General features: G+C 47.5%; 3 protein-coding genes and 1 long non-coding RNA gene across 66 annotated transcripts in view, besides 7 other annotated features; 2 read left to right on the top strand and 2 right to left on the bottom strand.

Annotated features, from left to right (window-relative positions):
* The window catches only part of HERC1 (HECT and RLD domain containing E3 ubiquitin protein ligase family member 1), a 225,331-nt gene extending 220,996 nt beyond the window's left edge, over nucleotides 1-4,335 (top strand). For all 50 annotated transcript variants that reach the window (XM_047433260.1, XM_047433247.1, XM_047433234.1 and 47 more), the window contains 2 exons: nucleotides 397-702; nucleotides 3,687-4,335. In XM_047433260.1, coding sequence (XP_047289216.1) covers nucleotides 397-702; nucleotides 3,687-3,872 — 492 coding nt within the window. In that variant the 3' untranslated portion in view covers nucleotides 3,873-4,335. The remainder of the gene's footprint in view (nucleotides 1-396; nucleotides 703-3,686) is intronic.
* Nucleotides 4,437-15,566, bottom strand: FBXL22 (F-box and leucine rich repeat protein 22). Of its 5 annotated transcripts, NM_001367809.1 has the most exons (3): nucleotides 15,208-15,566; nucleotides 13,757-13,799; nucleotides 9,521-11,657 (listed from the first exon to the last, which is right to left on the bottom strand). In NM_001367809.1, exons 1-2 carry the CDS (start codon nucleotides 15,558-15,560, stop codon nucleotides 13,760-13,762), a joined length of 393 nt encoding a protein of 130 aa, NP_001354738.1. In that variant the 5' UTR covers nucleotides 15,561-15,566; the 3' UTR covers nucleotides 9,521-11,657; nucleotides 13,757-13,759. The 5 variants fall into 5 exon arrangements, with proteins under 5 accessions (XP_047288356.1, NP_001354738.1, NP_976307.2 ...); XM_047432400.1 differs by lacking the exons at nucleotides 9,521-11,657; nucleotides 13,757-13,799 and adding an exon at nucleotides 4,437-4,735; NM_203373.3 differs by lacking the exon at nucleotides 13,757-13,799.
* Nucleotides 11,212-12,029: an enhancer, noted in NCBI's record as "H3K4me1 hESC enhancer chr15:63893123-63893940 (GRCh37/hg19 assembly coordinates)". NCBI's record gives its function as "activates a minimal SCP1, AML or CMV promoter by ChIP-STARR-seq in naive H9 embryonic stem cells {active_cell/tissue: H9 hESC(naive)}" and the evidence as "EXISTENCE:reporter gene assay evidence [ECO:0000049][PMID:30033119]".
* Nucleotides 11,212-12,224: a biological region, named in NCBI's record as "H3K4me1 hESC enhancer GRCh37_chr15:63893123-63893940".
* Nucleotides 11,385-11,514: a silencer, noted in NCBI's record as "silent region_6521". NCBI's record gives its function as "represses an Ori minimal core promoter by ATAC-STARR-seq in GM12878 lymphoblastoid cells {active_cell/tissue: GM12878}" and the evidence as "EXISTENCE:reporter gene assay evidence [ECO:0000049][PMID:35858748]".
* Nucleotides 11,935-12,224: a silencer, noted in NCBI's record as "silent region_6520". NCBI's record gives its function as "represses an Ori minimal core promoter by ATAC-STARR-seq in GM12878 lymphoblastoid cells {active_cell/tissue: GM12878}" and the evidence as "EXISTENCE:reporter gene assay evidence [ECO:0000049][PMID:35858748]".
* On the top strand, nucleotides 12,126-25,243 carry USP3-AS1 (USP3 antisense RNA 1). Its single transcript, NR_034080.1, has 3 exons — nucleotides 12,126-12,364; nucleotides 18,167-18,258; nucleotides 23,853-25,243. It is a non-coding gene; the product is annotated as a USP3 antisense RNA 1 (long non-coding RNA).
* Nucleotides 12,292-13,009: an enhancer, noted in NCBI's record as "H3K4me1 hESC enhancer chr15:63892143-63892860 (GRCh37/hg19 assembly coordinates)". NCBI's record gives its function as "activates a minimal SCP1, AML or CMV promoter by ChIP-STARR-seq in naive H9 embryonic stem cells {active_cell/tissue: H9 hESC(naive)}" and the evidence as "EXISTENCE:reporter gene assay evidence [ECO:0000049][PMID:30033119]".
* Nucleotides 18,198-18,247: an enhancer, noted in NCBI's record as "active region_9540". NCBI's record gives its function as "activates an Ori minimal core promoter by ATAC-STARR-seq in GM12878 lymphoblastoid cells {active_cell/tissue: GM12878}" and the evidence as "EXISTENCE:reporter gene assay evidence [ECO:0000049][PMID:35858748]".
* Nucleotides 18,320-27,147, bottom strand: part of USP3 (ubiquitin specific peptidase 3) — a 90,041-nt gene continuing 81,213 nt past the window's right edge. For all 10 annotated transcript variants that reach the window (NR_046341.2, NR_046342.2, NM_006537.4 and 7 more), the window contains 4 exons: nucleotides 24,530-24,648; nucleotides 24,138-24,251; nucleotides 23,942-24,009; nucleotides 18,320-22,292 (listed from right to left, as the gene is read on the bottom strand). Coding sequence is in view for 8 of the 10 variants with exons in the window: in NM_006537.4 (NP_006528.2) it covers nucleotides 22,127-22,292; nucleotides 23,942-24,009; nucleotides 24,138-24,251; nucleotides 24,530-24,648 (467 nt within the window). In the remaining 2 variants the exon portion in view is untranslated. The remainder of the gene's footprint in view (nucleotides 22,293-23,941; nucleotides 24,010-24,137; nucleotides 24,252-24,529; nucleotides 24,649-27,147) is intronic.
* Nucleotides 21,289-22,488: an enhancer, noted in NCBI's record as "MED14-independent group 3 enhancer chr15:63882664-63883863 (GRCh37/hg19 assembly coordinates)". NCBI's record gives its function as "activates an origin of replication core promoter dependent on BRD2, BRD4, P300/CBP and CDK7 cofactors, and independent of MED14, by STARR-seq in HCT116 cells {active_cell/tissue: HCT116}" and the evidence as "EXISTENCE:reporter gene assay evidence [ECO:0000049][PMID:35650434]".

The raw sequence follows: 27,147 nt of genomic DNA, 5'->3' as shown, positions 1-27,147 counted from the left end.
CCAAAGCTTCTTACCTTTATGAGATGAAGTGTCCACACATGCATAGTTTGACAGCACATGGGCACATATGATTAGGAATATGAGTGAGTGGGGCTGGCATCAGGGAAGGCCCCAGTGGGCTGAGATTTTGTGGTAGAGGGAAGGCAGGCTCCTAAATTGGACTTGAACTGGAACCAGGAGTGTAAGAATCCCACAGCAGGGAGGCACTCTAACAAGGGTTGAGAGGCAGGGAGGGTGGGCCTTTTTGACTGACTCTCGTGCCTGGCGGTCTGAGAAACAAGTAGAGGGTCTGGGGAGCGGACGAGCAGGCATCAGGAGGCGCCTAGCCCCACAGGGCCCTTGGTGGGTGCCAGGTTCACGCACACTCATTGAATGAGCAACCTCTCCCGGGAGCAGGTGGCTGCAGTCCGAGAAGGGATGTCCTGGATTGTTCCTGTGCCGCTGCTGTCCCTCCTCACAGCAAAACAACTGGAGCAGATGGTGTGTGGGATGCCCGAGATCTCTGTGGAAGTCTTGAAGAAAGTGGTGCGGTACCGTGAGGTGGATGAGCAGCATCAGCTGGTGCAGTGGTTCTGGCACACGCTGGAAGAGTTCTCCAATGAGGAGCGGGTGCTTTTCATGAGGTTTGTGTCAGGAAGATCTCGACTACCAGCCAACACTGCTGACATTTCTCAGAGATTTCAAATCATGAAGGTTGATAGGGTAAGTAAGCTATTCTTTTTTCCTTTGTAATGTCTGCCTTATTGCTTCATTGTTGTTTTTGTTGAGACAGGGTCTCACTCTGTGGCCCAGGCTGGAGTGCAGTGGCATGATTTTAGCTTACTGCAACCTCCGCTTCCTAGCTTCAAGCAGTTCTCCTGCCTCAGCCTCCGCAGTAGCTGGGACTACAGGTGCGTGCCACCACGCCTGGCTAATTTTTTTGTATATTTTGGTAGAGACGGGGATTCACCATGTTGGCCAGGCTGGTCTTGAACTACTGACCTCAGGTGATCTGGTCACGTTGGCCTCCCAAAGTGCTGGGATTACAGGCGTGAGCCAACACGCCTGGCCCTCTGCGCCTTGTTGCTTTTATGTTGGGGAAAACAAACTATGACCCTCAAGTAGGCCTGCCGATTCATGCTTATTAATACTTAGAATTTCCAGATTAATGAAAAAAATCAAGCAGTAAAATTTGTTTAGAAATATCATTTAGCTTCAGTGGGAAGAGTCCTAAGTGGATGAAGAGAGCATACTACAACCAACAACCTTCCCTAAATCTTCCAGCATCTTCCTGAGTTAAAGCTGAACTTGGCAGAAGGATCATCATACTGCCTCTTCCTGTGCTGAGGCATGGCCTTGTTTGTTTTCATGAAAATATTAACCATTAACTGGTGGGTGTGCCCCAGAAGGAACCCAAAGATGTGGGGAGCAACGATAACCTCTGTGCCCACTTGTGTTGTGTGCCTTGTGGAGCAGGCAGGGCTGCATCTCTGCCATCTGATGAAAGGCCCCAGCTGCAGAGCCCCAGCCCAGCTGTGATTTTGACAGATGGCTTAGGAATAAGAGGGCTTAGAGTCTGAAAAGCACACTGCTGCCAGAGTCATCTTTCTTAAGCACCTGTCTGACCATGTCACTCTCCTCCTTTTAGACCTTTCAGAGACCCCCTTTGTTGACTCCGAAATAAATGCCAATGACCTTAGCTGCCTTAAACACTTCCACAGTCTGGCCTCTGCCCCACTTTCTGATGTGACGTCTTGATACTTCTCATGTTCTGGTCATAATGGGCTGCTTGCCTTTCTCCCCAGTAGACCAGGCTGTTTTTAAAATTCTGTGCTTTTATGTAACCTGTTCCCTCTGCTTTAGTAAGTCCTTCTTCACACCCCTTTCCTTCTATCTCTGGCAAGCACTTACTCATCCTATAAGCCCAATGCCAGTCATCTCCTCCAAGAACCCCTCCTAGATGCTTTCCAGGAGTGCCCCTACCATTGCTGAAGGCAGACCTAGCCAGACTCCTTCTCTCCACCTCCTGAACACTGGGTACAGCCCTCAAACCCAGAACTTACTGCATTCAGTTAGGAGTGCCTCTCCTCCCTCTGTCTCCATCCCCACTCTTCACAAGCCCTCTCTCCCACATGAGCTGGGCAGTTCTCTGAGCAGGGCCCATGATGTTTGTTCAGAAAACAGTAAGGGAAGTGGGGCCTCTTCACACACAGGCCCTTCCTGCCAGTTTAAGTGTCTGGCTTTCTGGTGTAGCCAAAGCTATTCCTCCCTGTGCTGCCTCCTGAGGCTGCAGGCTGCTGCTCTGCTCCTGGGCTAGGCTTGCTGGAGAAGCCACGTGCAGGAAGGATTATAAAAGAGCCTTTCCATAAATTTTCTGCATGACTTGCCAAGAACTGTAAGTTGTAAATCTGTTTTGTTGCTTCAGAGAGAAGTAGGAAGGAGGAAATGGCTCATTTCTACTCAGCTCTGGAAACAACCCTTGCCTTATATCTGTCCTGGGCTACTCCTGCCGTTCTAGGAGTTAATCCACCACTAATCTCCGGTCTCAGGGTTGTCAGCATCAGTAACTGACTACCGTGGTCGGTTCCTCTGTGGCTTTTAGATCATTTCTACAGTACTCACATTTAGGTCATCAGAGCCACCTAGTGGCACCTCCCTTCCTTGCTGCTTTCAGTTTTTCTGCGTTGAGCTGTGTCATCACTGGCTCTGGTGCATTTGGGCTGCTGGGCCATCCACCTCCCATAGCAGGACATGTGGCTTACCTAGGTGTGGGCTCTGGGGAGGAGGGCTGATTTCAAGAGGAGGTTGAGTGAGAGAAGACAGGTTCTTTTTTTTTTTTTTAAGCAAACGTTTTAAAAATTTATAAAAACACTATAATGCCATTACTATTATTACAAATTGTTTAGAAAATAGTTATGTTTGCAAGGAGGGATAGGGAACGTATATAATCCTGTCTCTCCAGTAGTAGCTATTTTTACCTTTGTGAAATTCCTCATAGTCTTTGCCTCAATTGTACAAATTTTTATATGATGTATCTAGAATTTTTTCTGCCTTTAACCTCCTAATGTATCCTGAACACCTTTCTGTTTTGCTGCCAGTCATCATAATTATCATTTTAAATGATGCATCACCGTCAGTTGAATGGATGGACTGGAGTTTAATTGACTGCCCCTTCCTTATGTGAGCTGTGCGAGGCAGCCATGGCGCCTGCAAAGGAGGCAGAATGCACATGAGGACAGGGAGAGGAGAGGGGGCAAAGAGGCTCCCATGGCCAGCTGCACCTCACAGTCGTTCTTTCCATTCTACCTGCTCTGTGGGGGCATCCCTGCAGCTGGCTTCCAGTCTGCACCCTCTTGGTGGATGGGTATGAAGGACAGGTGCCCTCTTACTACACTCTCATCCTGTGCCAGGCGCTGTGCGTAGTGTATTCTCTCAAGCAATCCTGCCAGTCAGAGCTTCTCCTCACTTTACACACACAGGCACTGGAGGAGGTGAGGACAAGAAGGAACATCTTCACCCAGAGCCTCGAGGGCCACGGGGCAGTAGGGCCTCAGCTCATTCTATCTGGCCCAGTCTCTGTGTCCACTTGACTTAACCATGTGGCCATGTTAATTCCATCTTGAAGGCAGGGAGAGGTCATGGGCAGCCCCACTCCCCCTTATGGCACTCTGATGTCCCCAGTCACGGCTCTGGGTCTCTCTCCACAGCCTTACGACAGTCTGCCTACCTCACAGACCTGCTTCTTCCAGCTGAGGCTGCCCCCGTACTCCAGCCAGCTGGTCATGGCCGAGCGCCTGCGCTATGCCATCAACAACTGCCGCTCAATCGACATGGACAACTACATGCTCTCGAGAAACGTGGACAACGCCGAGGGCTCCGACACTGACTACTGACCGTGCGGGTGCTCTCACCCTCCCTTCTCTCCCTCAATAATGCTCACTTCTGATTTGATGTTGATATACTTTTATGGTAACTACATAGATGTTATAAGAACATAAACCAACATTATAAACAATGGCCACATTTAGTTACTCTAAATGTAACAAAGAAATTAGATGTTTTTATTTTTCTGTGATTGTACAAAAACAACAAAAACGAAGTGCTCTCAGTCAGGTTTTTCCCTCCATATTTTTGGTCACTTTTGATAAGTTTGCATGAAACCATTTTGGTGCATTTTTAGTTGGGAATGGTACATTTTTGTAAATCCACCCAGTGAACATGAAATTGTACATTGTGTATAATTGTTCATTAGAAAGGACAGTTTTACATGAATATTCATATATTTATTTTGTTTTAATTTGAATTGCCTGTTCAGGGTTCCTTATGCAGAGAAATAAAGCAGATTCAGGAATTGGAGCGTGGCTCTTGGTATTGCTTCCTGCGGAGCTTCTGACTAGGGGTTACCATCGAGGCAGACATTAGCCCAGAACAGAATGAGCTTCCAGGCTGGTCTTGCTCTGATGGCTTTTTGACCCATTCAGAAACATTTCTTTACATTGAGGGTGGGCTTCACTTGGAAATAACGTATCAGAGAACCGTGTGGTTCTAGGAGATCCCTCTGGGTTGGAAGCCCCTATTTTCCATTGTTCTTCTGTCATCCTGGGTCTCTCTGACTTTGTTCCCTCAGCTGCTCCGCCCCTCTCAGTACCACGCATCCTTCTCTGGACAGCCCCAGCTACCTCATGTGGAGGGCGACTCTACCAGACAAGGAGGAAGAGGACCACAGTAATGCCATCTGGCCCTTCCTATGAAGAACCTACAAAGACAAAATGAGCACGTGATGGAATTAAAGAACAGGGTAGTTTACAACATGTCTCAGTGGGGAGGGCAGCCAAGTGGAAGGTGTTACAGAAAGGCCAGCAACTGCTAGCAGGCACTTAGCATGTATCAATGAGTGAATGAGTGAGTGAATGTGTGAATTAGCATGAGAACTGATGAGTGGCTTTCATATCCTTGAATGATAGAATTGTGCAGAGGTCTGGGGAAGGGGTTACATTCTTGGTGCTCAAACTCAGCTAGCCCCTGCGGGCCCTGAGTGCTGTGTGTGTGTTCAGCAGCATCAGGGTGAGCCTGTGTTTCTGGGGGAAAGGGCCATCTTGAGAGCAGCTGGGAGGGCTTTGGCCTCTTGGAGTGTGTGCAGGAAGAGGGGAAGGCCTGTGGACAGCTTGTCTCCCTCACCTACAGCAAGTTCATGCCACAGGCTACTTCCACTGTACTTCGCGGACAGGGTCTTTGCCGACAGCCTGCTCAAATGAGGTGCCAGACAGACAGCCCTCTGCAGGCAGTTATTTTCCACAAGGAAGATAGGTGTATGTCTTCAAAGAGAAATTAAAAGAAAAATAAGGTTTTGCCAGCTAAGATAATGTGGTAAATGGATCTTTCTTAGTGAGAATACCTAATAATATTTAGAATGATGACATCTTCGTTTTATTGAAAAAAGGCTTCAACTAGAATTGGGTCTCAGGGAGAGACTCCAGCTTTGGGGGGAACCCCAGGAGTTCTGGGTAAAGATGAGGCTTTAATACCGATCTAAGAGCGCAGTCAGTAGCATCGTTGAAGGGCTTTGGGCTTGAAGCCCTCCTGCTCGGGGTGGGAAGGCCCTGCCTGGGCCTCTGGACCAGGAGAGAATTTAAGAAAAGAAAGGCTCACGCCTGTAATCCCAGCACTTTGGGAGGCCGAGGCGGGTGGATCACAAGGTCAGGAGATCGAGACCATCCTAGCTAACATGGTGAAACCCCGTCTCTACTAAAAATAAAAAAAATTAGCTGGGCATGGTGGTGGGCACCTGTAGTCCCAGCTACTCAGGAGGCTGAGGCAGGAGAATGGCATGAACCCGAGAGGCAGAGCTTGCAGTGAGCCAAGATCGCGCCACTGCACTCTAGCCTGGGCGACAGAGTGAGAAAAAAAAAAAAAAAAGCATCTGTGCTGCCAAGATCCTGGACGAATCCAGGAGAGGCCTCTTAGGGTCTTCTGAGCCGCTTCCTGCGTCCCTCTTGCTGAGCTGGGCTGAGGACATGCAGAGCAAAGGATACCTCTGCAGTCTCTAAATTCAAAATAATGCCTCACCCTGTGCTGCTGCCACAGTTTGCTCTGGACTCGGGGGCAGGAGGACCCCCAGAAGGCTGGCACTCATGGTTGCAGGTCCTGGGCTCAGGGCTAACAGACAGCAGCTCAGGTTTGACCCTGTGAGGGGAATCTGCACAGTGCCATGATTTTATAACACACACTGTTTCGTTGCCAGAAACTGTTATTTCCTCATTGTCTTGACTATGTTTTCATTTTTGCAGAGACAGGGTCTCACTATGTTGCCCAGGCTAGTCTGGAACTCCTGGCCTCAAGCAGTCCTTCCACCTTGATCTCCCAAAGTGCTGGGATTACACACATGAGCCACTGTGCCCGGCCTCTCTTGACTTTTTGAAAACTCTGGAAAGGGGGAAGCACAAGTCCCTGATCTGAGGAGCTGAAGTGGGCCTGGTGCAGGTGCTTCCCTTGGTTTACTTTCAGCTCTTAGAGAGGCTTAGGCAGTTGTTTGCTGGCCTCATTCACTTAACAGATACTTGCAGTTTTTATGACCCTTAAGCAGCCTCAAGCAAACGTTGACCATCAGTTTTTAAAATTTAAGATTTCTCCAGACATCCTTCAAAGTATGGCTTTGTTCTGGGCCTCCTAGCTTTGTGGCCTTTGCCCAGGACTTCTGGCCGGATGAAGCCCACATCTTGTGAGCTTGGTTTTTAGCCAAAAGCAGATCTTGGGCATTGAATCCTAGAGCTGGAGGGAAAGTCTCTAAGGGGTCAGATGATCTCTGCCTTTATAAACCAAGAATCCAAGGTCAGGAGAGGGAAAGTTGGATCATAGGTGTGCCCCGACTAGAACTGGGAGCCTCTGCTTCCTGTCAGCGTGCCGTGGTAGAGCCGGGGTGGCTCAGTCACTTCCCCTCCGAACACTCATCCTGTGCAGAAACAGGCCAGTGTGTCTCTGTAAGACAAGCCTCAGAGCACCACCTCCTGCTAGCAGCCTGCTGCCTCCTGGGGGAGATCTGGAACCCTGACCTAAGAGCCTGTGGCCCTGGTCTCTCTGCCGGCACTGGGGCTCCTATGCAGACCAGTGCAACGTGGTGACAGGTCAGCCTTCAGCCAGGGAGCAGTGTCCTGCCCCAGTGGTGAGGTTCTGTTCTCTCCCACCACCTTCACCTGCAAGTGACCATTCGCTGCCTTGGCCAAACCTTAGAAAGAGTTAGCATTGCAGGAGTTGAGGGATGTCTATGATCTAATAGAGGCTGTGAGGGCATAGATAATCCCAAACCATTTCTGGGTGGCTCGGGAATACAATCAGGCTTCCATCAGCCCTGGCTCACCCCTTCCCTGGATATGCCTTGGGCTTCTTGACCTTTGCCTTTGCTGTGCCATGCCTGCCAATGGAAATATTCTCCTTAACGGTTGGAACCTGTGGCCCAGCTCAAAAGCTCTGTCTGCCACAAAGGGTGCCTGGCTTACCCACAGATAGACCTGGCTTGCTTCTTCCCAGTGCCTGGGATTTGTGTGTTGTGCCAGGCACTCAGCTTTTCTAGCCCCCCAAGGATATGAGGATACCTCCCCCTATCCCCCAGTCCCAAGAGGGTATTGGTCCCATTTTACAAATAAAGAAACGGAGGCTCAGAGAGGTCATATCTCGTCAAAAGCTATGAATGGCAAAGCTTGGAGATCACTCAAGAACACCCCCTCAACCTCAGCTGCATGTCTTCTAACTAGGGCTGAGTCACTCCAGGTAGGGCCTGGCCCAGCCCATGGCCAATACCCAGTAAATGCTTGTGAGATGAATTAGTTGGTGGATTAATTAAGTCTGCAGGGCTCTTTGTTATATGCTAACCTAAGTTTGAAAGGATTTTTCTTTTGTTTTTTACTTTTTTTTTTGTTTTTGAGACGGAGTCTTGCTCAGCTGCGCAGGCTGTGCAGTGAGTGCAGTGGCCCGATCTCGGCTCACTGCAACCACTGTCTCCCGGGTTCAAGCGATTCTCCCATCTCAGCCTCCCAAGTAGCTGGGATTACAGGCACCCGCCATCATGCCTAGCTAATTTTTGTATTTTAGAAGAGAGTTTTTCACCATGTTGATCAGGCCGGTCTTGAACTCCTGACCTCAGGTGATCCGCCCGCCTTGGCCTCCCAAAGTGCTAGGATTACAGGCGTGAGCCACTGCACCTGGCTGTTTTTTACCTTTTAATTTAGTGGGGAAGGGGCACGGAGATTCCATGCCCTCCCTGGACACACCACCCTCCAGGAACCTCCATGCATGTAGCTATCTGGAAGCTCCAAAAGTGGTTTTGTAGATTAAGTGAGGTATTGCGCTCTGTTAAGTGTTTTGCTCATGCCTGGTGGTGAACAGTGTCTGTTAGAAGGCAGAGTGGAGAGCCATGTGTCTCCATCAGTGCCCACCTTCTGGGGGCACCTAAAATGACCCTTCACTTCAGAACCCAAAGCTCCTCTGGCTAAGGTGGGGGCCAATTTGGGTCCCTAGAAACAGCACTGGACACAGCTGCCAGCACTGCTTGAGTTCTGTGATCACTATGTCTTGGGATGCAGGGGAGTTAGTTGGCATTGGAGGGTTAACTGGGAACTTAACCCTTACTACAAAAGAGCTTCCATGGGAAAGGGGGGTTGTCGGGGAATGCAGGTTACCCCATTCTAGCTCAACCTATAGTGACCCCTGCTTTACATAATCACAGTCCTTAAAAGAACCCCAAAAGCAAGGTTCCCTTGTTATCCTTAGTACTCAGATAAGAAAACAGGTTTGGAGAGGGCCAATCTGTCCTTGGTCACAGAGCTAGAAAGTGAGGGAAATGGGATGGAAACCCAGATCCATTAGATCCTGAAGCCAGGATCCTGTTGTTGTCCAGGCTAAGCCACCAATTTAGGACAAATAGAACATACTAGAAATTGGGGCTTTTTGGAGAAGATGAAAACAAAGGCCTGGGGTTTAAGTGGCTCTGTTGTAGACAAACATTCAACCCCCTGGAAGCCTGAGCTTGCTTTCAACAGTGTTCAGAGTAATGGGAGAAAAATTCGTTCCCAACAACGCCTCTCCAGAGTGCAAAGCAATGGTGGGCAAACTGAGAAATCACCAAAAAGCAGCCTGTGTCTCACAGGCTAGTAGCAGAGTCCTGCCACTCCACTGCAGCTGGTGGTGTGACAGAGCTGGCTCTCCTGACAAAGGGATTATGCTGGGCCAGGGCTTACTGTGGCTACCCTGTTTCTGGAGTAAGCACTGCCCCAGCCCGGAGCCCTTTGGCAGTCCCCAGAAGGGCTGGTGTGGGACAGGGTGCTGCTTGCCTGTCCACATGTTCTGCCTGGAACAAAATCCAGGGCCGCTGGGACTTCACCTATCATCTGTGCATGGCGCCCTGGTTCCTTCTGGGGGTAGGTTGGGCTGAGGGGGAACCTTCATCTCTCATTTCTTCCTCACATTAATCTGTCCATCCACTGCTACCCCCATCCCTTACCATAACCAAACAAAGCAGGTGCAGATGCTTGAATTAACAAGAACGAAGTCTAGTAATAAAAAGCAAATTTATTACCCAAAACTAGTAAAGGGGGAAGTAGCCAGATTGCTATTTAAAGTAACTGCTTCAATTTTTAGAGGGGAAAGCAATTTTTAGGGTTTTTAAAAGGGAAGACTTGATAAGGAAGGCATGCAAGAAATGGGCTGAGTATGATGTCTGTGTGTTTTGTTCTGGTGGCTATCTTGGGCTTCAGTCCACCTGGACCTCGGATTGACATTATTTTAACAATGGTCAGGTTGTTAATTAGCCATTTTGAAGTAATTTTTGGAGGTTTGCAGCTGGGTCTCCAGGCTTGGTCTGTCTCAAGATTAGCCACTGAAACTTCTAAGACATCACACAATTAAATAGTAGCATACAGTTAGATAAATGAAAAGGGAGCATATCTGGTGAGAAAGGGGAGGGACGTGGAGTCTATTTTAAGGCTAAGGAGAAAGGATTTTGAGTTTCCTCAAGGTTATATCTTGAAACTCAAGAGAATGGGAAAAAAGTTTAAAAGCATGTTGAAGTTAAGCTGCGGGCTGCATTGCTTCTCAGATACCTGCTACTCAGCTTCCCTCCTCATTCACTCTGCTCCAGCCACTCTGATCTCCTTGCACATGAGCCATGCCTGTAGTCCGCGGCCTCTGCACTGACTGTTCCTCTGCCAGGAGTATCTATGCCCCCTGCCTCACTTCATGCCTCAGATGTCATCTTCTCAGTGAGGCTTACATTGGTCAACCCTTTCTCAGAGGCTTCACCCCCCAATCTCTTGCCAGCAATCCCTAATAGCCCTTGTTACAGCCTGCACTTTTTTCCAAATACTTTCTACCATTTTTTTTTTTTTTTTTTTTTTTTTGAGACAAGAGTCTCTCTGTCGCCCAGGCTGGAGTGCAGTGGCACGATCTTGGCTCACTGCAAGCTCCGCCTCCCGGGTTCACGCCATTCTCCTGCCTCAGCCTCCTGAGTAGCTGGGACTACAGGTGCCCGCCACCACGCCCGGCTAATTTTTTGTATTTTTTTTTAGTACAGACGGGGGTTTCACCTTGTTAGCCAGGATGGTCTCGATCTCCTGACCTCGTGAATCGCCCATCTTGGCCTCCTAAAGTGCTGGGATTACAGGCATTGAGCCACCGCACCTGGCCCTTCTACCCTCTTATATACCAGTTACCTGTTGTCTCTTCCCCCACTAGAAGGTAAGCTTCATGAGAACAGAATTTGTCTTTTTCCTTGCCGTTTCCCTATTTGAGCAATGAATTAAGGAACCTGTGAGTAGGGATCAAGCTCCTCTTTCACACAGAAGAAACACCTGGCCTGGGAGGGGTAAAGGGCTTTGTCGCAGCTGGCGCTGGGTGGAGCCGGAGTGTGAACAGCGCCCATCACAGTGCTCCTCGCCTCTTCCACCCACCCAGAATTCTCCCCAGTGACCCAGGACCAGGCGGCTGCCGGGGGGCCGAGAGCCTTCACTAAATGTGACACATCAGTGACTACAGCCCTGAAATTCAAATTGGAAGCCTAGGCTTGTGCTCATGTCCAGCAAATCCAACAGGTGAAAAATCTAGCTTGTCAGCTTATAATGGTTCCATTATCAAAAGCTTAGCCAGGGCTGCTGGTTTTGTTTTTGTTTAGTTTGAGGCTTTTTTTTTCTTCCAAATCATTTCTTTTTCCCTTATGAGAACAGTAGAAAATATGGGTAACTATGCAGTTTATGTAAGCATTCAACAATTGGGAGCGAATTTTCTACAATCGCGAGTGCGGTCACTGCGGGAACGCATCCGCCCCAGGAAAGGTGGGCGGGCAGACGCGCGTGCGGGCAAAACCGCAAGGAGGAGCGGCTCGGTGGCTCCTTCTGCCCGTGCGCCCCTGCTTCCCCTCCTCCTGCTTCACCGAGATCACCACCGGGGCTCCTGGAGGTGGCGGTCCCCAGGACACTCCGGGAGCCGGCGGGGTCTCGCTGGGTCGCTCCGCCCGGAGGCTCCCCAGACCCCTGCGCGCGGCAGCCCTGGCCCCCGTCACCCCCGAGCGCAAGTCGGCGAACTCCGAGTGGTCAGGTCCTCCCCACCGAGGTGATTTCGGTCCAACGGCGATCGGAGTCCCCGAGGACGGTGCAGGCGCCTCCCGCCTCCGTGGGGAGCGCACAGCAGAAAGCCTGGGGCGGAAGCAAGAGGGGAAAGGCGGTGGTGTTGAGTGAGAACCAGCCGAGTGTTTTCCAAATATCCATTTAATCTTGCGTTTATCCTATGTATAAAATCGTAACGTGAGGTAGGCTTTCTTATCCCCACTGTGCAGACGGGGAAAATGAGGCTCAGAATATGCGGTGGTGGTCTGAAGGTGGAAGAGCTGGGTTCGAAGCCAGGACGGTCTGGGGCTGCGCTCCTTCCCCGGGGGCAGCGGCGGGGCGGCGTCTAGCGCTGCAGCAGCTTGCCGAGGGCCGCGGCGGGCGCGCGCGGGCGCGGGGGCTGGTCGGGCAGCATGGCGGCGCTGTGCTCTGCCCGCAGGGCCAGGCGCGGGCACGCGGCGCGCAGGCGGCGCAGGCCGGCCGCGCTCACGTTGCGGCAGAAGTCCACGTGCAATGTCTGCAGCGCGCGCCCGTCCGCCGCCACGGCAGCCAACGTGCGGTTGGTGACGCGCGCGCAGTTCTCCAGGCGCAGTGCGCGCAGGCGTGGGCAGCAGCGCAGCAGGCGCGCCAGGCAGTCGTCGGTAACGTGGCCGCAGCCCGAGAGCGTGACGGACGCCAGGTTGGGGCACCTGTGAGGAGAGTGCGGTGACCCGGGGCTCACTGGCTTGTTAAAGCTACCCAACCGCCCCATGGGACCGAGTGGACTCATTTACCGAGGAGGACTCGGGCCCTGCGAGGTGAAGACACTTGGCTGCGATGACACTGCAGGGTTCCAAGTCGGCTTTCTGGCCGGCCCATTTTCCCTCCTCTTTCTGCCCCTGCACCCCACCGTACCTTCATCTGCGTGGGTTCTTGGCTCGTAGCCTTGGGAGCCCCTAGTGGGAAGCCCCGACCCCGGCCCAGCAGAGTCCTGGGGCGGCTGTGGACAGAGGGAATGCCGGTTCCAGGAGCCACAACCCTTGACTCTTTGTTTCGCTCTGGATGTGCTGCCTTGCAGGGGAGCGGTGCTTGGCGATTGCTCCAGTCTAGCTTCAAGCTGAGGCCCCTGAATGTCCCGGCGGGACGTGAGTGGGAAGAGGGATTTGTTTCCTTGGAGGTGGCCTAGTGACAGGCCCATCCCAACCCTCAAGGCGGTGGGGGCACGCGTTAGCATTGAGTCCGGGTTCAGCTTAGTAGACTAGAGCTGTTCCTGCATCCCCTGGGCCACCAGCCTGGAAAAGGGTAGGGTTCGGAGGCAGCTAGAGGCAAGCCCTGAGCAGGTACAGTCACGGACACCCACCCAGGTCGCTTGGCCAGAAAGCTTGGGGGACCCTCTGCTGCAGCCTCACCAGCCCCTCCCAGCAAAGAAAAGATCTTGAGCCAAGTTAGACTTGGTTTATCGCCGTGTCAGTCACTCACGGAGCCTTCATTTCCTCTGCGTGGGGGGAATAATGTCTACCACTGGGGTTGTGAGGAGCCTGCAACGGGGCCTTCCACAGGCAGTCCTAACCCGCTTTCCCTGGAAACAAACGGGACCAGCCTGCTTCCAGTCCAGAAGGACCGACTAATGGGCCGGGGCCTTGGCTCCCCGCAGCCAGAGGGAGCTAGAGTCTGGGCTGGGGAAGCGTTTCCCTTTCCCTGCCAGCCTCCCCCGCAGCTCCGTGACTGCCCCTGGCTGTGCCAGCTCGGCTCCTTTGTGCCAGGGGAGGGAAGTAAGGAACTTAAATATGTTGGGTGCAGCCAGGTGTCACACCGAGCCCGGGCCTCCTTCAGGTTTGTGTGCCCTCATTAGTCACCCCGTCAACCTCTGCACCCCCAGTTTTGTACATGAAGAAACTGGCTCCGGCAGCTCAGGTGACTGGCTGGTGACTTATTTGCTGTCAGACCCAGGACAGATGTCTGAACCTTGCTGGGCGTCACTTCCTCATTTGTCAAGTGGGAGGAATTGTTACCTTCAAGGTGGTTATAAGGATTAGGTGTTTAAGCCTCAAAGGTGTTGGGTGATCTTTTCTTCTAAGAATCTTTGGAATAATTCTGATACAGGGAAAAAACAAAGAGCGGACTGTCCCCCTGCCCAGCCATCCTCAGCCATTCCTCCCGACCTGAGCTGAGTGCCAGAAGAACCAGATTCAGTAGACGTTCATCAGTACCTACTATGTGCCAGGTGCCACTGTGTCATTTAATCCTCTTACCCTGTTGGATAAGAAAAATTTAGCACATTTTATAGAAGAAGAAATGAGGTTGCAAGAGTTTGAAGTATTTGAGCTGGGGTCACATGGTTGGACGAGCTGAGCGGCTCAGCAGAGTGCTGACAGCAAAGCCCTTTGCTCTTTATGTGACAGCAGGGCCCCTTGCTTGATCAGTACAGTGGCCTGGGAGGTCCACTTCACACCTTGCAGGTTTGGGGCATTAAGCTCGGTTCTCTTACAGTAAGAATGGAACAACTTCAGGACATGTTGTGCCATTCGCCTCCCCCCAACCCCCACCCATGTCACTCTAGTCTAATTCCTGGGCCTTGTTAAGCCCATCAAAATAGCCTTGTCCAGTCGGGGCCCAACCCCAAGTCCATCTTCTGTTTTCTTCCTACCAGCTCAAAAGAAAGGTGGGGTCACTACGCTGTTTCCTTCCACTCCTGTCGTGCTGCCAGCAAATAGCAGCTATGAACTTGGGTGGCAGTAAACTGGCTGAGTCTAGTTTTCCATGAACAGCCAGGGCCAGTTTGTTATATGATCAAGGGGGTGTTTTTCCTCAAAGGCAGCACGGGACTGGCAGAAGCTCAGTGAGAGGCTGGTTGAATAGCTCTGTGTTCTTGCCTGGGCCGCTCTGCCCATGAGGCTGGGACCATGGAGGGAGCCTGGCCTGGTGGTTCAGTGTCTATGTCTGTGTCTGGGGTGGGGGTTAGCAGATAAACACAAGATGTATTTGGGACATACTTACACTAAAATATTATTCACTGTTTATCTGAAATTCATATTTAACTGGGCAGCCTATATATTTGCTAAAATCTGGCAACCCTAGACTGGGCAAATCATACCACCTCGTGGAGCATCAGTTTGCTAATTTGAAAAATTAGGCTAAGCCACCCTCCTTAGGAATACTGTGTAAATCAGTAATTCATCTACTCCTGGAGTCTGGTTTGGCTCAGCTGACCTGAGCACCCTGGCTTCTCCACCTCTGGCTCCCCACCCTCTCTTTCCTCCGTAGTTTCCCAGGCCTTGAGGGCTGCTTGCTAGGCCTAATGGAGGGGTGAGCTGATTGCTGCATCTGGAAGCCTTTTCCCAGAGCCTGACCTTGAAAATCCAGGCCCAGCTGGACCCACCCAGCACTTAATGACTACCAGTACGGAGGCCCCACTTCTTGGTGTTTGCATGAAGCAGCCCAGGACCTGTGAGGCTAAGAGGAGGATTAGCAATTGTTTCCCTCATGATTTTATTGTCTCCTGGGGACCCTGCTTTGGGCGGTCTGGATGTCTGCCTTGGGCCTAGTTTGAGGCGCCCCGAAGGTGGAGCCATCTTGGTCTCGTAATTTGCTCTTCCCTGCCCCCCAAGAGGGAAGCCAGAGCTAGCGGGGCCAGCACTGCTCAGGAGGCAAGGTGGCCTACCTGTCGCACACCCGGAGGAGGAAATCATTGACCAGGCTCTCGTGCCGGCTGCAGATGCTTCTCTGGAAGGCACTCTTGAGCCAGTCCTCAATGCTGCACACCTGCACGCGGCTGGAGTGCCAGCAGATGGAGAGGCTGCGGAGTGCCGGGCCCAGGAGGAAGTTGTCCTTCTGGAGTTCAGTGAGGGAACGGAAGTGCAGCAGGGACCAGAGTGCGGGGTCCTCAAACACGTCGTGGAGCTGGGAGCAGGTCCTGGCAAGGCTCTTCCTGCTGTCCTTGTCTAGGAAGGAGAAGAGGTGCAGCAGGCACTCCCGGTTGAGCTGGGTTATGTGCATGGTGAGCAGTGGCCACATGTGAGTGCAGCTGCAGCCGGGGGACGGCTGACCTGCCTCCTCTCCTCCTCCCCGACTCTGGGCCGGTGGACATATATGGTTGAGGAATGGTGTTTATTTTTGGCTAACAACTGGTGCTGAAGCTCTGCGGAGGGGTGAGGGAAGAAAAGCCAGGACCCAGACACATGTGCGGCAGTCTGTGGTTCGGCTTATGTTCAGAGGGATTGGAGGTCCTGGCAGAAAAGGAGCCTATTGAAGTTACTTTCCTTAAAAGGGATTTTTTTTTTCCCTTTAGCTGACAATGGTGTTTAGCAGTGAGCACTTTTGGCTTTTCCCAAGGCGTTTTCATTGGCAGTGGTGGCGGCCAGGCCAGCTCTGTCTGGCTTTGCAGTCTGTACTTAGGGGGAAGGAGTGTAATTGTAAATGTTAACTGTTTTGATTTTCTAGTACATCAGTGTGAATCTTTTGCTCCACCCTTACTAGGAAGAAACCTGTTGCGTGTGGAGAGCTAAGGGTGACGGTTGTGAGTTGTGAGCAGAGTCCATGGCTGCTGCCTCATTCCTGTTATTTTTGTGCCATAGAGTAATTGTCTCCAGGCTAGGCTGGTTGGCCTTCAAGCCCTGCTGCCTGCCACTAGGCAGGGGGATTTTCCTGGGCCTCCCCAACAGCTAGATTTTTACCCTGAGTTGTTTCATAAAAGAATTTTACTGAAGTAGCTGCTTTCCAAAGTTGTGTGTCTGTGTTTTATGTTTTATTGGTGCTTTGTTGTTGTTGTTGTTGTTTTTGTAGTTTTGGTCAAGCAGTACTTTCTGTGTTTTAAATTTAAATTTACTTGGCTTTACATTTTCTCACTGATAAGGCCTTGTACTATGTATAACCTGTACTTCCCAAAATGTCAGGATGGATGAGGTAGCTCTTAATGTGAAACTGCTTGAAACAATTTTAAGTTCAGTATTTTAGTCCATCTTTGCCTTTAAGTTGACCACACACCATCCATTCTATGAGTGCCCTCCGTTCCCTCTTGGAGAAGCCAGTGGGCCACCCCTGCCCTCTCTGACTCAACTCTAGGCAAGGTGCCTGGAGGTACTATCCGTGAAGCTCCCCCTTCCTGAGTACCCGAGGCTTCACGATATGGCAGACCCGTTTCCTCATGCTGCTTCACTCCCAAACCCAGGACCCAACCTTAACTCTCCTGCTTTGAATCCCAGTCGTTGTTTTTTGGTTTGCTTGGGGGATGCTGATATGGTGCAGCTGTATAGGCCACGTTCTGCCTAGGCAATAGTGAGAAGAGAATGGTTTTTCCTCTGCCAGCCCAGGGACCACCACCTCAGTGGTTACTTCTGTTTGTTCTCCCATTTGGAATAAGAGGGAATGGGAATCCTTGTGTTTTCCCATAGACACAAATGAAGCAGCCTATGCTGAACCCACTTCTGGAACTAAGGTTTGGTCAGGGCTGGTGCAGCTTTGCCTTTAAAGCAGAAGGCAGTCAAGCAAAGAAGGAAGTAGCCATTGTCAGTGGCTTTCCTGAGAAGCCAGCCTCAGCTGGTGCCCCTGTGCCTCCATTACTCCACCATGCCAAGATGAAGTACAGTAGGGGGTTCTCTTAAAAACAAACCAAGGAGGTCGAAAGGAAGCATTTCCCAAGGAAGGGGAGCAAGATACTGCTGCTATTTCAAGCTCATCAATGTAGTTCTGAATTATAGCTGACACCCTAATTTAGGCTCTGTCTAGGTGTACTTCTCCACTTAAAATGGATGCTGCAAAACCACAGGTGGTGTTATTAGAAAGCCACATTATCTCCACTTTCCCTCCCCAATCCTCCTCAAACCAATGCTTTTCAGAGGGTTTGACCCTTAGGAATAGGTGGTTCTTTCCACTTCTTGCAAGGCCAGAGTGGTACTTGTGCCTTCCACTGAGTAAGTGTCACTGTGCTTCAGCATGGCTTCCAAGTTGCACTACTGCAGCCCAGCTGGAATGGCAAAAGATTGGCAGGGAGAACATTTAGAGCATTGCCCCTCTGCTGTTCCTCCAGGTAGGCTGCAGGAAGCATCCTAGACTACCAGGGCCAGGGGGAATGTGCTCCTGCATGCTGCAGAGGGTCTGAGGCACAGCCAGGAGATGACGAAGCTCTGCCCCTTTGGGCTTGTCCAGAGCTATGCTGTTTGGCAGCAGTGACAGCAACCACGCAGCCTCTGACCAGCACAGCTGCCAAAAGAATGTGCCCTACGGAACAAGGATGCATAACAATTTGAGCTGCAGGCACCTGTGTCTTCAATTTTAGAAGACTGACAAGAACAGGCAAAGGATGACTGTGGAAACAGGGTTCTGTCTGCAGGAGGCATGGGGGCAGGGAAGTAGTCTATAGGAACTTACTGTAAACAGGATGTTTATTTAAAAGCACTTATTTGCCTGTTTTACCTTAAAAGATGACCAGTATCCTTTGCTCAGAGCCCCAAAACTAGTGCCTCAGGGTAGAGTCTAGCTCTAAAGGGGAAGGGAAGGGGCCTCATTTTTATAAGATCAATAGTCACAAGAGACTGAGGGTGATTTCACTGGGCAAGGCCGAGTGGGACCTCAGGCACCTGACTGCAGGCACTCATCTCCAGGCCATCACTTTGCCCATACAGGTCACTTCATCCTGGCCCAGGTACTGCAGCTCCAAATCGTGGGGATTCTGTAAGAGCTTGCTACCTGTTGACTGAGGAGGCCCACGAGTTGAGTAAGTACATCATCATTTATGTGGCTCTACTGAAAAAAGGTGTTCAGAAATAAGTCAAAAGGAAAGAGAACAGACTTTTAATGATATTTTTAAAAACAGTTCAGGTTGGTGAAGCAGAAAAGGGATGTGATTACAATTTAAATGAATCAGTCACTTGCACAATTAATCCTCTTGGCATCATACAAACTGGGTTTTAATGGCAAATGATGACATCATAGCATGACCAACACTCATGGAAGGCAGTCTAGAGTCCATCACGCTCACACCTGAGGGGGAAGGCACTGCACCCACTGACGAGACGCAGAGACCTTGGACTACAGATGACACCACATGCCCACTTCTCCTTCCTCACCTTCCTATGGCTACTCCTAGTCACCTGGGACCCAGGCCTTGGCTGCAGGAACAGACTTTTTCCATCGGCTTTTCCAGGGCCCAGGTGAAGAGGCCACTTCAGCAACAGAGGGTACAGGAGAGAGTTTAGGGGCTGGTGGAGATTAAAGTGGGATAAGTGTATCTAAATAGACTTATGTACACTAAACCAATGAAGGAGAGGTTTGGCTTTAAGAAATAAATATGCCCCCAACCCCAGAAACCAAGCTGCTGAGTAGGTTCCACAGGCGAGATACACATTTAACACTCACCCCGGGCCAGTACACTTGACTGGTTTAATTCTAGTACATCTGTCATCACTATACACTGAGTAGAATACAGTGGATAAGCAAAGGTTTCTCCACCATGGAGAGAGATTTGTGTTGCCACAAACTGTTTCTGTCACCCACCCGTGTGGGGACTTCTGAGAAAGTTTTCTTGTTCCAAGGAGCCATGTGACTCAGCGCGAGGCCCTGCCTCAGCAGAAGCTCTGAGCCAGAAGCCACATATATTGCTGGAGACAACATGGCACAAGGGAAAAGCCCTGAAGAGGACAAAAGATCAGCTTTCAAAATAGGTGTGGTAAGGCTGCACAGTTAAAAATGAAAACACAAATAAGCACATTTACATCACTGCTGTTCAAGTGCACAATTGAGATGGATCCAATCACTTTTCTAAAGAATCTTCACACCATTCAAACGTTTCTGTTCAAGTAAAACCAACCAATAAAAACAAATTCAGAGAGAAGACGTGTTCATCTCTTAAGCCAACAGCATCACCTGTCTGAAGACCACTCTGCCCGACAAAGTAGTCCAACGTGTTGCTGAAGTTCCATTTGGTATAAAAATACAGCTTTTTTTCACCATCAACTCTGCCCAGGCCTTTACTGTTTAACAGCTGCCCATTCAGAGAGACTGAAGATCGAAGTATCAATGTTAGAGGTTACAGCTGTCTACCTTCTAAGCAAAAGAGCCCGGATTCATAGGAGATACTTTGCAAGATCAAAGGAGACTCACATTTCAGGTTGAATTAGATGTGATGTTAATGTGTGATACATCAGATCAGGTGGAGCTGTCATTTTTGTAGATCAGAACTCATCAAATAGCAGGGTTTCATACAGTTTAACCTAATATAATTTAGCATTGTAAATTAATTTAAGCACACATCTCCCTATTATCTTTTAGGACTCAAAGTTGTAAGACCTAAACATGATGGCAAAGTTTTATTCTTTGGAGTGAAAATTTAGACCAGCATTGTCCTACGCCGTATGTGGGTGCTGAGCACTTGAAATGTGGCTAGTGTGACTGAAGGCACTGAGTTTCTAATTTAAATTTCAGTCACATGTGGCTAGGGGCCATTGTACTGGATGATATAAGTTTACACATAATTGTAATTTGCTCCTTGTCATGTTAAAGTGTTTAGCAGATGTGTTCTGGGAAGATGTGGGATTTATCCAGTTAATATTAAAATGGAAATGGAGCTACATCTGCTCCCACAACTTCAGATATCCAACCTGAGGGAAAGCCACCAGACTGTTTTTATATCATAAACTTAAAAAAAAAAAAAGGTCAAGATGTTTTTAATAGAACAGGCTGGGCGTGGTGGCTCATGCCTGTAATGCTAGCACCTTGGGAAGCCAAGGTGGGTGGATCACTTGAGCCCAGGAGTGCAAGACCAGCCTGGGCAACGTGGTGAAACCCCATCTCTAGTAAAAATATTAAAAATTAGCTGGGTGTGGTGGTGCCAGCTACTTCGAGGCTGAAGTGGGAGGATCGCTTGAGCCTGGGAGGTTGAGGCTACAGTGAGCTGTGATCATGCCACACTGCACTCCAGCCTGAGGGACAGAGTAAGACTCCATTAAAAAAAAAAAAAAAAAATTGCCAGAAAGTCTCGTTGGCTTAACACAAGATACATTTTGTCCCTTGTGGAGAATTGGTAGGCTATGTCTACCAACCCCCACCGCCCCCAACCAAAAAAAAGAAAAAAAAAAAACCACCACAGGACTGTCTTAGAACACTTGTAGAAACCACAACTGCTTTCTTTAAATGGGATTCTGGTTCCAAATTTGAATCTTTGAGTTAAATCTGTTTTTTAAAAACAAAACTGTCTGGGCGTGATGGCTCACGCCTGTAATCTCAGCACTTTGGGAGGCTGAGGCAGGCGGATCACCTGAGGTCAGGAGGGAGGTTGAGACCACCCTAGCCAACATGGTAAACCCCCGTCTTTACTAAAAATACAAAAAAAAAATTAGCCAGGTGTAGTGGTGGGCACCTGTAATCCCAGCTACTCAGGAGGTTGAGGCAGGAGAATTGCTACTCGGGAGGCCGAGGTTGCAATGAGCTGAGATCGTGCCACTGCACTCCAGCCTGGGCAACAGAGAGAGACTCTTGTCTCCAAAAACCCCCAAAAAACAAAACGAAAACTCCACTTACTTACTCCAACAGTATTTTCAACTTGTCCTATCAATCAGGATAGGCCAGAGAGAGGTGTTAAAACCCAGAGCAGCGAAGATTCTAAATTTCCTCCTGTGGAAGCACACCCCCCAGTGATAAACTGAAGTGCGGGTGATGATCCAAGTAAATCCCAGAGGGTCACACCTCAGACTCAGATGCCAAACACAAGCAGTAAGTAAGTCTATAATGGACATGTCGTGACTTCCAGTGGTACAACTAAGGGGGAATGAGATACTGATTCAAAAGGAGGCAGACGCCATGGCTTTACCTCACTGGTAACACCTATACCATGTCAGTGAGTCACAGCATTTTTTTTAAACATTACATGTATTTGGTCTTTACTCCCATCTTACCTCCCCGCAAACAAGTATGCCCCAAAACCAAAAAAACCAACAAAGAGAGTAATTCTTGTATTTGCAGGACAAGTACAACTGAACCAACAAATTTATTTAGTTAGTGCTGATAAAGACAGCAGCCTTGAGAGACAAGCAGTAATTACCTGGTCTACTTAATGATGCCCTTTGTTATATTTTACAGGCAAAAAGAATGATTCCTCAGCAGTCATTGTGAAATTTTGTGGGCCACAAGTATTGTGCACACATGATCCTTGATTTAGAGTCAACCTGATGTCCATTATAGCTGTGGAAAGGCAGCAGGCAGTTGTGTCGCTCTTCACAATAAGGAACACATCTTGCTTTCAGCATGTGAGAGGAACAAAAGCATTGATGTAAATGTGCCTCAAAGTGAGAACTGAAAACATTAACATAAAATAAAAAAGTCAAATAAGACTAAGTTCTTACAACTACCTATAAAAATTGAATTATTACAACTAAAGCAGCAAATCAAAACATCTGCTGAGGTTTTCTGGTAGAACAACAACAAAATTAGTTGGTGCCCATGTTCAGTAAGTCACTACCATTGACAAAACTAAATCCAAAATAGGAAATTGAAAAGTGCATAATGAAATTAAATCTTGTATCAAGTATTTGTGGAAAACTGGAAATGTTTCTCTGGTATGGTTGGTGAATGATGATTTGGAGGAGGTATTAAAGTTTATCCGATCCAGCTTTGGCCTGGTGTTCCACGTAGAAAAGGATGTAGGCCTTCGCCTTCACCACAGTCTCCTCGTCAGTCAGTGTTACAGTACTGTCATTGAAGTGGAACCAGCGGCCTTCGTGAGTTGCGTATGCTGTGTAATGTCCAGAACCAACCCTGTAAAGGCAAAAGACCAAAGGAAAAAAGAACCTCAGAAATCACAAAAAGACCTGTACAACTATATAATGTTAGATTTAAATTTTAATAAGAATACATCCTAGACTTTTGATTTAAGATGCTTGTTAAATTAATGTTTTTACCTTCCTCCAAACTGACCAGAAATCGAGGGTTTGCTAGAACACAAAGCAGATGGCCCTGGACTAATGGAGAAAACAGAGATGAGGAACTCGCAACCTAACAAGCACAGGTCAAAGCCTACGGAAACATGGAAAACTAGGTACCAGGTTTTCCCATCAGAATCTTAGGAAAAAACTAAGCTTAACAAAGAAGGGCACCCTTCCCTGACACCGTGGTCATCAGGGGCTCTACCCTATCAGCATGACCCACCCACTCACACACACAACCCTGGAGTCAGTCCTCCAAGTCAGACGGAAGGCCTGCAGCTAGAACAGACCTTTGTAGGTGCCAGGAAAACCCTATTTAAATAATAAAGATCCATCTCATCATTTACTATGATTCCAAATAAACCACCAAAACCAAATTTTAAAAACAAGCCTTTTGCACGCCTACAAAATCACATTTTTGAGGGGAAAGAAATACCGGGAAGAACAAGCAAGGCAATCAACCCTGAGGAATTGAATGCAGAAAACCTAAGAGAACTTTACATTTTTAAATTAGTGCTAATAGTTTCAAAAAGATAGTGCAATCATAAAACAAGAATAGGCTGTTACGAAAAAGTTGTCAGAAAAATGTGACTGATTTAATATAAATATTTTATGGAGGAGCTTATCTTTTATTTGGATACAGATGAAACCCAAATTGGTGATTTGGAAAAGTAGGCCATGGCAGTCTTTAGAAACACAGACAGAAATCATTAGAGTATTTAAGACATGTGGAAGGGAGATCCAGGAAATTCACTATGCATATAATAGGGGTACAGAGAACAAATGATTTCAGACCTACAGTATAGAGAGTTTCATGAGCTGAAGGCACCAAATTAAAAGTGTCCCTACCAACTACCAAGCAGGAATACACTCCAAGGAGAAAAAAGCCAGGTGCCTGTAAAGTAGTGAGAATCAGACTTGTCATTCATAACACTATGTGAGTGTAGACGTTACTTTATCACAGCTCTGCGGGAAAAGGATTTTCAACATGGATAGTCGTCTGCCCACATATAGTAGTCTTAAGTTTGAAGGTAAAATAGCCACTCTCAAACCAAAAACCAGAAGGTTAGACCCCTCATACAAACTTTCAGGGGAAAAAATTAATGTTTTTTAACAAGACTTAAAATGAGTCTTTAAAGTAGATGATATGGAGTAAGTTATTCCAAGTAATTTCCCCTTTTGCCCCATTTAAATTTCAGTTGGTAAACGAATAAGCAACTTTGGAGTTTGTGGACAAATAAAGACTGGGTCGTAAATACTGGGTTCAAATGAACCATTCTTCATTTCACTTTTATTTACCTTCCCTTAAGCCTTCACAACATCATCTGAGGAGTACTCTTCCGCACCAAAACTGAAGGAAATTTCACCTACTTTATCTGAATCCATTTTTTAGGAAGAACTAGCAAGAGTGGTACAAAACTGCAGGTCATTGGGCTGGCCACCAGGTATTCCCACCCACCAGAAGCTGGCTGTTGTACTCACCCGGAACCATGGTGCACCACCACAGCGGCGAGGTCATACAGGCAGCTCTCCGGGCCACTGTTCTCAGGCTACAGAACAAGGAAGAAGGAGCAGTGGTCAATGACATCAGTATCTCGATGACCTCTACCCTCTCCATGTGATGACAATCTTACTGAAGAGCCATTTTTTCACCATGCTAAAAAGGTAACCACCTTACCTCTAGTAAGTAGCATTTCATGTCTAGGCCTCTCAGTGGAAATTCTACGTATGTATCAACTTTATTTCTTAAATATGCTGTCCAATGAAATCTTTTCAAATGTAAGCATAGCACCTGGAGGACAGAGATGCGGTCAAAGATTGTGAACACCTAATTTACCTTTCAGTCAAAGTTTGATACTACTATCAGTTCAGTAAATAACATTTTAGCTGCCCTATCAATCATTCTTCCATGCATACCTTATGCATTCATTCTGTAAGGGGTTTAGCTTTTACTGAAAATCCTAGAGAAAAATACAGAACAGTTCACATAGTGTAAAGTTATAGACATGGTCTTAGCAGTCAAGCACTTTCCCATTGAAATTGCTTCATAACTCAAAATTCAACACTCACCTTGGGTAGTTTTTGAATCCAAAACTTTTTTGTGGACTTTTGTTTCTTTTTGCATTTATGGCACATATATAACTCTGTCTCATCAAGTTCTTCTAAGTCGGTAAAACTGCGAAGACAATCTAAACAAATTGATTTTGGCAGCATTAAAACAAGATGCCTTTTGTAGAGGCAATGTACTGTAGAAAAAAGACCCAGGTTTAAAATCTCAGCTTTATTAGCTATACGACCTTAGAAAAGTTAACCTTTCTCAATTGCAAACTGGAGACAAAAAATAATACCTACTTTGAAGAACTATTATAAGGAAGAGAAATAATGTGTAGAGCACCTGGCATCATGCCTGACATCTGGTGATGATCAATTGTGTTGGTTTTACTATTAATGATAATTCATCTGGATAATTCTGATAAAATGGTTTCCTGATGAATTTAAAGTTTCAATTGTAGTTTTCTGTCAATATGTTACATTATACAGGACAAAGCTCCAAACTCATAAAAAAAAGTCAAATTTAGATAATTTAAAAATAAACATAGATCACAGAAGGCTACACTATCAACCTTCTCTGTCCAGACGCTGTACTCTCAGTTCCTAGATAAATCACAGCTACATTTTTTTTCATTTAAAGATGTAATTGTGTAACCTGGGGTTTAGTAAACTACAGTCCTAAAACATCCAGCCAGCCACCTGGTTTTGTAAATAAAGTTTCATTGGAACAGAGCCATGCCCACTTGTTTACATTATTGTCTGGCTGCTTTTACACTACACCAAACTGAGTCACTGGGGCAGAGACCTTATGTGGTGCAAAGCCTAAAACACTGTAAATCTTCACTTAATATCATGACAGGTTCTTGAAAATTGTGACCTTATGTGAAGCAACGATAAACCACTTTTTTCTCATCAATGTTATAACTAAACGTTAAAGGAAACTATTATTGGAGGACCTGCTGTATGTCATTTTGCTTTAAACTTGCAGTTTCCAAGAACCTACTGATGACATTAAATGAAGACTTACTGTATTTACTCTTTGGCCCCTGTGCCAATTCCTGATGCAATCAGATATTCATAAATCTATATAAAATACACGTTATTCTGTAGAAAAAATATGAATGCCTATGGACCCCACACTTGGATTTTCTCGAGTACTCAAGGAGCCAGGGTCTCTGTGCACGGCCTCTCCTAGAGTTGTGCAGTGGACAACCTGTGTGGCCATGTGCTTCTTACCAAAGATAATTCCCCTTCCTCTGCCCAGAAGTAGCCATTATCCTGACTTTTATGTCATTTGTCTTTATAGAACATGTATGTATCTTTAAATAATATATTAAAGTTGGGTAGCAAGCAGAAACCTAGCTGTGTACAGAAAAGCGCTCTTGTCTCTGTACTCAAGTTTCCAAGCCATAGTCAGCCTTTGTGTCCGCGACAGTAGCAGACAGCGCCCCTTCAGGGAAAGTTAGTGGAGGCAAGGTGTGGCAGAGGACTAGACAGTCTTGAATATGCCTTTGTTGCCTGATCCTAGTACCTAGAAGGCACATTCCTATGCCTGCCTCCCTACAACTCAATTCTCGCCTCCCTGCAACTCAATTCAATTCTCACTTCTTTGAGACTTTCTCAACCTCCAGTGGACAGTTAACCATTCTTTCCTCAATTTCCCACAAATACTACATTGCCAACCTGCTCAACCTGCTATTTTATGTCAGTGATGGTTCCTGGGAAAGGATGTATTATATTTTGACATTACAATTCCTGAAGCAAGTCTCAGACATTACAACCAAACTTGCAAATAGAGTGATGCTGTTCTCAGGAGCCTCCCAAGTCCTACATCTCTGGCTACAAAGAAAGAGCACTGACTACACAGCAGACTGGCTGGCTGGCACTAATAATCCCTTCAGACTGATCACTATGGTGCTTGTGAGCTCTGCAGCTGAAGTCATGGGTGCTTTCTTCAGCAAGTATTTGTTACATCATGTAAAAAGCTATGGCCTTGGCGGGGACAGCGGGGGTCATAGGGAGAATAAGAAATAAGGAAAGGAAACACAGAATTTTCCACATTTAAAATCATCATTTGAACACTCAAACTAGAAAAAAGGAGAACTTCAACATGACAAAGGCCATATATGAAAACCCACAGTGAATATCACACTCAATGGTGAAAGACTGAAAGCTTTGCCTCCAAGATCAGGAAGACAAGGATGCTCACTTTTGCCACTTCTGTTCAACATAATATTGGAAGTTTTAGCTAAAGCAATCAGGCAAGAAAAAAGCATCCAAAATGAAAAGGAAAAAGTATAATTATCTCTGCTGACAGATCACATGATCTCATGTAAAACCCTACAGTTAAAAAGTTAACTACCTGAAAGCTATAAAATGTTGCTGAAAGAAATTTTAAAAGACATAAAGACATCCTGTATTCATGGATAGGAAGACTCACTATTGATGTCAGTTTTATTCTATATTGATGTCAACTTCATCTATAGATTCAGTGCAATCTCAAACCAGTAAATTATTTTGTGGATGGTGACAAAATTACTCTAAAGTTTATTATGGAATGGCAAAAGACCAAGAATAGCAAATACAACATTGAAGAAGAACAAAATTGAAAGACATTCACATGCCAAAAAAAAAAA

The sequence above is a fragment of the Homo sapiens genome, chromosome 15 (genome assembly GCF_000001405.40).
Source record: "Homo sapiens chromosome 15, GRCh38.p14 Primary Assembly".
NCBI lineage: Eukaryota > Metazoa > Chordata > Mammalia > Primates > Hominidae > Homo > Homo sapiens.
This window is presented reverse-complemented; position numbering and strand designations above follow the sequence as displayed.